Here is a 12703-nt window from a genome sequence, read left to right on the forward strand (position 1 = left end):
CTATAATATCTGTTTTGCTTAAGGCCAATTTTGTCTTTTAATACTATATACTAAATCTTTGAAAACTATTTTGATTCAAATTTTTCTGATATATATTTCCTGCCTTCATTTTTACTTTCAATCTATCTAAACATTATATTCATGAATTTATTTTAAAAACTTCATTTTTGTATTTTGTAAACTGATTTGATAATTTTTGTTTTTAATCCTGTGTAAGCTCTTAACATTTATAATAAACTAATGCATTGTGATTTATTTTTCCCATCTTTTTGTGCTTTCTACTTACCAAGTTACTTTCTATCTTTTACACACTCTATTGAATTTTTAAAGTTGCCTTTATTTCTTTGTCAACTTGACATTTCTATAATCATTTATAAATGTTTAGTGTTATTTATGGATAGTACTATTTATCAATATTTACAATATATACTTGATTAAACTAAACAGATCATTATTCAATATATATACTATTATGCAGAACCATGTAGCACTTTAGAATTCTTATAACCAGAAATGTAGATATTATTATTGTTTTTAAAAATGATATTTAGTCAGGTTCATACATATGCTCATCAATTTAATTGCTCAGAATTTTTTTCCACACCACATTGTTTTCTACTAGGTTCTATTTTTTATTTTTTATTTTTAAATTTCTATAGGTACATAATAATTGTATGTATTTGTAAGGTATGCATGATGTTTTGATATAAGAGTATAATGTATAATGTTCAAATCAGAGTAAGTGGGGTATCTGTCACCTCAAGCATTTATCAATTCTTTGTGTTGGGAATTAATTTTATTCCTGGAGACAGCCCTATAGCAGTTCTTTCAGCAAGAATATACCATTAATTTTTAAAAACTATTTTGCTTATTTTCTTGTTTGATGGTTATATTCCCTCATTCCATTACCTCCTAACTTCTACTTTTCTGTTTTCTAGTTTGCTGTAAATATCAGTGTATATACTTCATACTTATTCTGTCTTTTCTCTGCAGTTTTTTTTATTATTTATTTTGCTCTTTAATGCAAGATTTTTACAAAGTGTCTATTTAAGGTTTTATTTTTATTCATCCTATCCTTAACTTATTGAATTTTAATCATCTGAGACACCAGAACTTCTGATTTTTCTAGAGAAGTCTTTGTCAAGTTCTCTTTAAATACAACATTTTTCTCATTATCTCAAGCCTTTCTTCATAATACTTCATTTAAATGGGCAGTCTACCTTTTCTTTCACATTGCTTTTTATTCCTTCTATATGGAATTATATGTAGTTCAAATCTTTCTCATGATTTACTAATTTCCCTTTTAGTATCTCACTCATCTATTCTACAATTCTATATCTACACAGTACATTGGAAGTGCCTTTACACAGCAGTTTTGCCTTTTATTATGCGTCTCCTTTTTTTTTTTTTTTTTTTTTACTTTAAGTTCTGGGAAATGTGCTGAGTGTGCAGGTTTGTTACATAGGTATACATGTGTCATGGTGGTTTGTTGCACCCATCAACCAGTCATCTAGGTTTTAAACCCTGCATGCATTAGGTATTTGTCCTAATGCTCTCCTTCCCCTTGGCCCCACCCCTTGACAGGCCATGGTGTGTGATGTTCTCCTCCCTGTGTCCGTGTGTTCTCATCGTTCAACTCTCACTTATGAGAGAGAACGTGCGGTGTTTGGTTTTCTGTTCCTGTGTTAGTTTGCTGAAGATGATGGTTTCCAGCTTCATCCATGTCCCTGCAAAAGATATGAACTCATTCTTTCTTATGGCTGCATAGTATTCCATGGTGTATATTTGCCACATTTTCTTTATCCATTCTATCACTGATGGGCATTTGGGTTAGTTCCAAGTCTTTGCTATTGTAAATAGTGCTGCAATAAACATACATGTGCATGTGTCTTTATAGTAGAATGATTTATAATCCTTTGGGTATATACCCAGTAATAGGATTGCTGGGTAAAATGGTATTTCTGGTTCTAGATACAAGATGAATAATACAAAATCATTAATAAGAAATGTGTCTTTAGTAATGAAGGGTTGTTATAGAGTGAAAAACCAAATATAAATGAATCTGTTGTAAAACTCCAAGCTTGGTATATACTAACAGATAATAAATTGAGGAAGGGAAGTTTAGGTTTAATTTCAGAAAGTTTAAAACAAAAATCTTTATGAGAAAATTAAAAGTTAAATAATGAAATGGTAATTTTTAGATTAAGTACCCTAGAACTTAAAGTATAATAAAATATATATATGTATAAAATAAATACATAAATGAAGAATGAAAGAAAAAAGAAAAAATGCAATGGAAAGCTGAAGGCATATTGTTAAAGTCTAATACTCAAGCCATTGGCAATAAGTAATGGAGTCCTATTAAGATAAAAATATAATTGAGCAACAATGTGATGGATTTTTTGTTGTTGTTGTTAAATAGATTCGGTCTTTTTCCCCAGCCTGCATAGATTTAAGGCTAAAATGTTCTCATTCACAAACACATAAGAGATAAGTAGTTTCCCAGCTGGTAACATATGGAGCCTGTTTTGGGGATTTCTCCAAAATGTTATTATAATTTTTAATATATTTCCTTTCCTTCATTTGCTTATTTCCCTGTTCTTTCAAACTATCTGTATTATTTAGACATATTTAAGGTAAAGATGATATTGCATGCGTTGGAAAATGGAATTCCATAATGCAACTTAAATTATGTTATCCCAAAAATAGAATGCTCAAAATTTTATTATAAAATACAGGTATTTGATGTTTTCAGTGAGCTTATTTTCTTTCTTATAGTTTTATTTTGTTTACTGCAAAATAATAAGATATAATTGTTTGGAGGTTGTAAGTAGGATACTCTGTTTTTGATTTCCTGCTTTTGTTGGCTGTGACCTTGAAATACTTACAAAATGTTTTATTTCAATAAATATGTGAACATTATCTTCGTATTTCCTGGAAGAATTAACACTAAAAATAGAATTTCTGGGAATAATGTCAAAATGTTGGTTAATCATTATTAGCTGACACAATGATATCATTACTTAGAACATCATTCTTCCAAATATGGTGATTTTAAAAGAGAATAAGGTTAAACATTCACATATTTATCATGATTACCAAAATGTGATACCAAAAATAAGCAAGACTAAACACCAGGGTTCTTTAAAAATACTTAGTAGAAATAGATATTTAGTATTTACTTTCAAATTTGAAATGCTATTATTTTTCAATCAAATTATTTTTTCTGCAACACAGACCCCCATGATTCACATTTACCTATGTAACAAATCTGCACAAGTACCCCTGAACTTAAAAGTTTAAAAAATACATTTTGTTCTACTATGTGCTAACCACTAATGCTGCATACATTATGTATTATGATGAACAGGGTCAAAACTCTCCTTGCCTCATTACATTCAGATACTAGAGAAGGTTCCAGATGAGTAAGCAGGAAATAATAATGAAGCAATTTGAGCTAGTGATGGGGTGGTAGGGAATATCATGAGAGTACATGTAGAGGAGAAGCGCTACTCAATATTTTCTATGTGTTTTTGAGTGTGTTTTAGGTTGATCAGAAAAGACTGCCATTTAAGCTGAGGTGTCAAGAATGGGGTCAAAGGACAAAAAGCAGTAAATACTTAGTGTGACCAAGTCAAAAGATCTAATGTACAAAATGAGGACTATAATTAATAATGGAGAGTTGTATTCAGAATTTTTGCTGAATTAGTAGACTATAGCTGCTTTTGCCAAAGGATGGGAAATTAATTAGTAACTGTGAGATGATGGATAATTTAATTTGTAACAATGTAGTAACCATTTTACTATATATATATGTGTGTGTTTTATAACATCATGTTGTATATATTAAATATACACAATAACATTTATTTTTAATACAAACTTCATTGCATTTTTCTATAGGTGGATAATGCAAAATTATATATTGTTGGCAACATTTCTTTCCATAACTGTAACATAATACATTTCTCATGTAACATTTTTCCCTAAAAGTTTCACTTTGGAAAATTTATGTTTTCTTTCAAAATTTGAAATAACAGTTAGTTTCAGTAACATCTATTTCTGAGTACCATAAAAATAACACTTTAAGTTTTAAACAATTTAGAAATAAATTTGAACTTTGTAAATTAAAATAATATTTCATAAATTACTTTATTAGAGGTATATACTGAGCAATTTATTTAAATAAATTAGTCACTCTGTGCCATGATTCTAAAGCTTTCTCTCTCCATATATCTTTAATATATATATATCTTTTAATATCTTTTATATCTATGGGTCTGATGTATCTTTCATTTTAATTTAATTGTATATCTGGTCTTCAGTGAAAAGTCTGGATTCTGATCTTAATCCAAAGAGTTTGTCTTCCTGGAAGCTTCTCATAGATTTTCTGTCAAGAGGGAGTAAACCACTGACCATAGGAGCTAAGCCTAAATTATTACGTATGCTCAAGGCGAACCTCTTATTCTCTGACTTACCTGGAGCCAGCATAATTCTTGAGTCTCACTTAGTAGTGTAAAATAACCGACATTTCATTTTCAGGTCTCTGAACCACTGTAGGAAGGAAAAAACTTCTTTTAATACTTAAAAGTGAAGAAAATTCAGGCAACTATGACCAATATTTTTAAGCAAAAAAAACAAACGCATTCCATATTTTTGGCACAGTAAATATTTTTTTCTTATCTAGGAATTATATGGGGCTAAATTTGATAATTTAAAAAAAACTACTCACCAATATTTACAACGAGGATCATCCAATATTTGTAATGTAACCTAGCCAAAAATGCAAAACTGACCAGAAAGTATTATCATGGTCTTAGGGTTTTGTTTTATAACACTTAGGCTAAATTTAAATATGCCAAACAAATGCATTTGTTCCTAAACTTTTATGCTTATTTTTATGTATAAATTAAATTTTATGTGGATGATACGAACTACAAAACACATTATCAGATGATTTGATCATTTTCTTGCTAATGTTCGAGAATCAAGGCAAAAAAAATGAAGTCTAATTTAGGGTCAAAGACTAGTGATAATGTTCCCTTTAATTTACGTAATTAAAAAGTTTTGAAGAATTATTTAACTCTATGTCACAACATTTATTTCATTATTTTTAGATTTGAATGACAGATTACTTTTTTAATAAACTATTTTGAAATCATGAATCCTTTAGGTGTCCATTTTGAGTAAGATATCAGGCAAAGAGTTTTTCAGGTGGACTAACAAAATGTGCAAAAAATTTGAAAATACTTCGGCAACCCTAGAAAAAAATCATCGTCCTCAGCCTTTGTGTTGATGACGAGACTAAGCTATTTTATTCAGCCACTCCCTTCAAACAGAAGTTGCCTTATAAAAGCAATAATAGTCTGGGAAGTTTTCCAAATTCATTTATACAAAAGTAAAGAGTACAATTAGAGCTACATTTTATAGCGTTTTTCATTATTTCATTATAATCTTAATCTCACACAGGACTGTCTGTACCTGTTGTGTGTAGGGCAATGGAGCCTTCGTTGTGTGCATCCTTTTGTGATTTTAATGCATTATTCTGTAGTAGGTATGCAGGAAAAAATTCAAGCCTTTCATCAAAGACTCACTCCGCAGAAACGTTACATACAAGATAGTAACTCAATTTGACAATATGTTTGCTTTCTTTTAGATGGAGCTGGTCAATGTGTACTTCCTAGTTTTCAAACTTAGAAGGTTTCCCTGACATTTCTAAAACGTACATTGTGAAATATCAGCAGACATAGTAGGAAATTGTAAAATGTTTATATGTTCATTTGGGATCACAAATGTCACTACAGCTCAATTTAATTGCAATTGTAGGAGGTAACTTTGGGCACAACAGCTACTCTATTTTCATAACTATGTTATGTTCCAATTTTTTTAAGTAAAATGTGTTCTTTACTCTTATGATATAACTGGATTTGTACTGTGATTTTCAACTTGAATATTAAGCTTTATATACCTTTCCTGGTTTGAAGGCAACCTGTACTAATAACTCCTGTCACTATTATTTTAGTTTTCCACTTATTTTTTATTTAACCAACAATCTGAAAAAAACATCTAGAACCAGAGAAAGGGAAGTGTAGAAACAACTAAGTGTGTTTCTCAATGAGCCTGGTTGTACCCATGCATAATTCAGAGAGTGGTCCAAATAAACTTAATACTGATAAATAATACTGTGAATACAGTTACAGTTGTAACTGTACATCAACTGGCATCTTAAGAAAAAAAATCACATCTTTTATTTTTTTAAATTTTTTTTTGCTTCTGTAGCATCAGGCACTCTGCTAAGTAATTTTTATTATTATCCCACCAAATTTTCACAAAAATAATTTTCATATGAATATAGATATATCTTGACACATTTTTAACTACAATTGAATTAGGTAGAATACAACACACATTTTCAAAATTACTATATTGGTGGCTCTATAACATTTAAAATGAAGTGATTTTCTGAATTTTTTACTTATTCAATGGGCAATTTAATAAGTTTCAAGGCTTCTATCTAATGTCTCCTATTTATTAATATTACACTAAAATTCTGTTCAGTAAGCGTAGCTCCCCACACTATTAAGACTATATGTTAATTATTTGATTAATAATATGATATAGATAATAAATTAGATTAAATTATCAATATACTCATCCTTTGGTAATCTTCATATACCATGTTAGTGTTCCAGAATACAATCTGTAATAGTTTAAACTGGAAAAGATAGCCTCCAAGAAAATATAGGTTAAAATATTATGTCCTTAAAATATTATGCCACACTGCAAATCATCGACTTGACTCCTTTATCATTTAGTAATTCCCCTCTGCATTCCTCATAATTATTTTTGGTTCTGAGGTTTACTCTATCTGAAATTAATATAGCAATTTTAGACTTGTATTATCATTACCGTGGTGTATCATGGTATAGCAATACACAGCACAAAAAAATGTAGGTATGTCTTTAATGAAATAGGTAAAGAATATATATGTAGAATATTTTAGAACCATAAAATAAACCAAAGAGAATCTAAATAGACATTAATTCTATGTTTATAGATAAAAATATTAACTATAAGAAAATTATTATTTTTAATTTTTTTCTGTTTTTATTTACAAAGTTTAGTGAAGCAATATGGCATCACAATTTAGAAATACTTTAATCTCACTATAATTTAACATTTAAAAATCTAATTTTTGATATTCAACAACAAAATTATAAAAATAATTTTACATTTATAAAATGAATCATTATTTCACAACACATTAGTCATTCATATTACCTGAAAACAGTTGTATGCTACATAAAAGGAATAAATTTCCTTATCAATATTTTGAAAATATGTCAAAAAATTAGTTCCTTTTTATCCAGCATTTTTGACAGTTCAGTATACAAAATATTATATTACAAATTTCCTAATTATAGTTATTGAAGCCAAATCATTACTAATAATTTCTAAAACATAGCTGTTTGCTAAACATGTATGGATAAATTAGAGGTTTCATTAAAAATGAACTTTATGTTTTGTATTTTAAAGTTATTTGCTATGTTCTGAATGTTTGTGTTTTTTAAATTTCATATGTTGAAATCTATTCCTTGGGGTGATGCTATTAGGAGGTCTTTGGAAGGTGATTAGGGGCCTTTGGGAAGTGATTAAGTCATGAGGATTAGTGTCTTCATAATAGACACCCCAGCAAAGCTGCCTTGTTTCTTGCATGTATCAGGGCAAAGCTAGAAAATGGCAGGTATGAGTCAGAGATCAAATTTGCCAATTCCTCTAATTCCTTGATCTTGGACTTCCCAGCTTTGACAACAATAAGAAATACATTTTGGTTGTTTATAAGCTTCCCAAGTTATGGTATTTTGTTATAGCAGTCTGCATGGAACAAGATGGCATTTTTTATATCTTCTAAGAGAAAGCCCAGCAAACTCAACAAAAACCTGCAAAAGGATATTTGTATGTATAAAAATAAAAAAAAATATTATTCATGAAGCAGACACTACAGTAAGTTTTCAAAAAATAAGAGTTAACCCCCATCAAACAATGATATTTTTTATGGTTTCACAAGGGTAGCAGGTCTTGAAGAAATTTTACTGGTTTCATTAAACCAATTATAGCTTTTAAGTAACCATTTTTCTACATTGAGTTTAATTTTACCTCAGCAGCCAATAAGTTAACATTAATATAATCTTTTTACTTGTAGTGTAAGTGGGATTTATGACATCATAATCTTAGTACTGCTTAAAGACCTTGAGAAAGATAATTTAATTCAATCTTTTACATCTTGGAATAGTTTTTCTAAAATACATCATTGATATTAATAATTACACAGCCAGTCTTCCCTATCAACCAGAGAGGAACCACTGACTCATGAGGTAGCCCATGATTAATTTGTTTTAAAATAAGCTCTAGCTTGGAGATGATATCAAGTAGTTTAAGGCTTCAGTGAAGAATATTCCTCTGTCTGGAATTAAACAATTGGTACATCCCTCAGCTGCTGGATTTCAAAAAGTCTTCTAAGTCAATTATTTGAATCTGTTTTTGTTTTCATCAAATCTACTTGGTGAATATTTTATTTTTTTAATTTTTTTAGAAGAAAGTCTTGTTAAAACTACAAAAGTTGTTTCTTATTAAAACTGCAACAATTTACACTCATTGCTTACATGTAAATATATTATAGGCAACATGATAGATAATATCCAATAACCACTCAATTGCATATATTTAAAAAACACACTGTGAATAAGAAGTTTGCATTTTTTATTCCACAAAAAAAATTCACAATCATTAAAGTCAACCGGACCTAGATTTACATTTATGAACTTCGGTTATGTTCTTAAACCCTCAATTTACGTTTATTTTATTTATAAAAGAGAGATAATACTCTCTCTCCTAAAGTGTTGTTGTAAGGACTAAATAAGGCACATTGGTGGTAGACAGCTAATTTGTCCCCAGGATCAGCTTTCTTGGAGTGTCATGGCTTTGGCTGACACAGAAATTGCACCTATAGATGATTCTCCTGGCCGCCCTGGGACCCAGCTGCAGGCATGTGCTGATTTCTAGTCAATGGAGAATTATTTCTAGATTGTTTCAGGAGAAAGAAATAAATGTCTGTCTAATTGGAGTCAATCTTTTAGGAGTTTCTTTGTTACTGGTTAGCCTGTATCTTAACTAACATATCTTAGCTTAACATAAATCTTCAAAGACAGTCACATTTAAAAAAATATCCATGCTTTCTTGGAATGGCTTTTTATAATTTCCTAAACTTAGGATAGGCATATTTAACTGTAGACAAAAGAGATGCTTCTTTGCCACAGAACTCCCATAGGAGATTCTTCAAAAAGATATACCTTATTCTACAGCAATTGCTTTATTTTTCTAATCAACAAGTTCGTAATTTATTGAAAAAAAACCTTCAGTTTATATTAAACTGAGATTTCTGATCCACAGTTCTAATTTTAAAAAGTACATTTAGTTCTGCATCACATCACAATAAAGCAATTACTTATGCATTTCAATCAATATTAAGGAAACAAATCAAAGGTGTTATTAGGCTTAACAGATGCAGGCAGAATGCAAGGGAAGATGGAACAAATACACTATATAAACATCTTCAAACTCAAATATACATTGGTTTCATGTGAAAGTTTCACACAGTAGCAACAACAAACAGAATGAACATAGGATACTGTCTTATAACAGTTCCATGAAGAAGCCTTGGATCAGAGTTTGCCAAAAGTACTATCTTGAGATGTTTCAAGACAAACAGCTTTTCACATTTATGCAGTGCTGTTCAGAAATAAACACATTTTCACAATTGTTTTTGTTTGAAGAGAGGCTGGTGAAATGACTGAAGCTTGATTTGTAGCTGTTCTGTAATCTTCTTGTGCAAAGCCTTGTGGTGGGGAAGGGAGTGGGGTTTCAGGAGTTCAGATGTGGTCTTCATAAGAACCAGTGTGTACATGGGACCTAAAAGTACAGTTTGTCCAGTTAATGGATCTTGAGATGAATGTGGATGTATTGGATGATGGAGATGACTACTATCATTGGAAGCCCCATTTAACATTTCCTGAAGTAGGTGGCCAATTTAAGTCAACCGCAAAAGTTTTTTAAACAAACTATATTTGCTCAATCATTTGCCAAATGATGCGCAGCAGTGTGGGCAGCAGCAGAAGCAACTCTCCAAACCTCCCCCAGGGAGCCATACTGCGTGCGGATCATTGACGGAGTTCTCCAAACCCATCCGCCCTTGGAATTGCATGTTCTTAATGTTTATTGGATCTATGTAGCCCATTTAAGTGTAGCCCTTTCACATCTGGGCCAAAAAATACAATTGCCTTTTGGATTTCTTGAAATGGTTGAACCAGCTCAACTAGAACCCGACTGATTACACTGCTAATCTCAAATTCACAGCTGTTGCAGTGAATAATATAGTTGTTTCCCAAAAGCAAAATATCTTTATACATCATGGATCTCTTTATAGCTCCAGGCAGTTAAGTGTTCTCCTGCATGATATCTCAACAGCGCCACCTTGTCATCCAATGGTAACTGACAGAAGGCAGGAATATATTTAGCCCATTCCACCAAGACTAAGAGCTGCTGTTTCAGAAATTCACAGACATCACCAACACTTTTATTTTATTTTTTTTAACATGTATATCAGTACTTGCCCCAAGGCTTGAGACTGAGATCTGGCAAGACAGAACTTCAGCTTGTGCCAGTGTGTTAATGGAGGGGATATTGCTGCCATCACATGTGCTTCTTCTGGTGCTTGTTCTATTGCATTCATTATGCACAACTTCTTTTTCCATTCCTGCTCTAAAACACTTTCTTAATTGACTGTATCTACATTGATTTCTTTTGGCCTTGTCAACAAAACATTGCCGACGGAACCTGCAAGAATAAACGTTACTCTTGCATATGCTGCATCTGAAGAAGCCCTTGCACCCACCACAGCTCGATGCCCCACAGTGTTTTCCTGTTGCCTTGACTCACATATAGCAAAAAGACAGATGAGACTGTTGTCTGGGTATTCATATTTGTCCTCTCTGGGGCAGAAGTACCTGCGCAGAGCCACTCCGGGAGCTCTGGAGCTGCAGTCACTGCCCTGCAGCCTCCTCATCTCCCTGCAGCAGGTCCCTTCCATCCACCTCAACCGCGGTATCTGGCGCCACACTTTTGACAATTATTTTTCAATTGATTTACAGATTTAATATAATTCCAGTAGAAATCCAAGTGAGTTATCCTGTGCATATTGACAAACTGGTTCAAATGTTTACATGAAAAGACAGGAGCCCCAGAATAATCCACAACAAACCAAAAAATAAAAAATAAAAAAAAAAAGCAAAGCTGTAGAACTGACACTACCTGATTTCTAGAATTACTGTAAATCTATTGTAATCGAGATACTATGGTTTTGATGCAAGGAATAGACACATAGATTAATGGAAGCAAGCCCTTAACTAGAATCACACAAACGTAGTGAACTGGTCATTGGCAAAGAAGCAAGGGCAATCCAGTGGAGAAATGAATGTCATTTTACCAAGTGGTCAGGAAAAATTAGACATCACCTGCCAAAAAGTAAACCTAGGGATAGATGAAAGATCTCATACCTTTCAGAAACAATAGTCCAAAGTACATCATAGAACTAATTGTAAAACATAACACTATAAAACTCCCAGAAGAAAACCTAGGCAAAAACATATGATTTTTGTTTAGCTAATGTGATGTTAAATACAAAACTGAAGTCACAGTCTATGAAAGAAAAAGCGATGATGTGAAGAGTTGTTGAAGTTGAAATATTCTGCTCTGTGATAGACACTGTAATGACAATTAAGAGGCTAGTCACACCCTGGTAGAAAAAAAATTGCAAACACATATAAAGGATTTGTATAAAAATATACAAAATACTTTTATAACTCAATAATAAAAATAAATAATCCAATTGAGAAATAGACAAAACATCTAATCAGACACTTCACAAATTAATATATACAGATAGCAAACAGGTATATGAAACTACTCCACATCACATGCCATGATGGAATTGCATATTAAAACTCCAATAATAAGATAGCACTACATATCTATTATGATGGCTGTAACCCAAAAATTTGATGATACCAAATTCTGGGAATAAATCAAAGCAATAGGAAATCTCTTTCATTACTAATAAGAATGCAAATGGTACAGTCATCTTGGAAGACAATTTGGCCGTTTCTTACAAAGCTAGATATAGTCTTACCATAAGATCCTGTAATTGTGCTCATAGATATTAGCCAAATTAAGTTCAAAACTTATGTTCAAACAAAAACCTGCACATAAATGCTTGTAGAAGCTTTATTCATAATCCCAAAAAACTGCAAGTAATTAAAATCTACAATAGGTGAATAAATAGTCAGACTCCAGAATATCCATTCACTGAAATATCATTCAGTGATCAAAATAAGTAATTTACATTTCCTTTATATTTTTTATGGCTTGATAAATATAAAGGAAATGAAAATGTACATTGCTAAATGTATTAGTCTGTTTTCACGCTGCTGATAAAGACATATCCAAGACTGGGTAATTTATAAAGAAAAAAAGGTTTAATGGACTCCACAGTTCCACGTGGCTGAGGAAGGCACATAATCGTGGCAGAAGGCAAAAGGCACATCTTACGTGGCAGCAAGATAAGAGAAAAGGAGAGGCCCAAGCAGAA

At 31.4% G+C, this 12703-nt stretch overlaps 1 pseudogene; it reads right to left on the minus strand.

Annotated features, from left to right (window-relative positions):
* HNF4GP1 (hepatocyte nuclear factor 4 gamma pseudogene 1) lies at positions 7101-11062 on the minus strand (annotated as a pseudogene).

The sequence above is a fragment of the Homo sapiens genome, chromosome 13 (genome assembly GCF_000001405.40).
Source record: "Homo sapiens chromosome 13, GRCh38.p14 Primary Assembly".
Taxonomy (NCBI): Eukaryota; Metazoa; Chordata; class Mammalia; order Primates; family Hominidae; genus Homo; species Homo sapiens.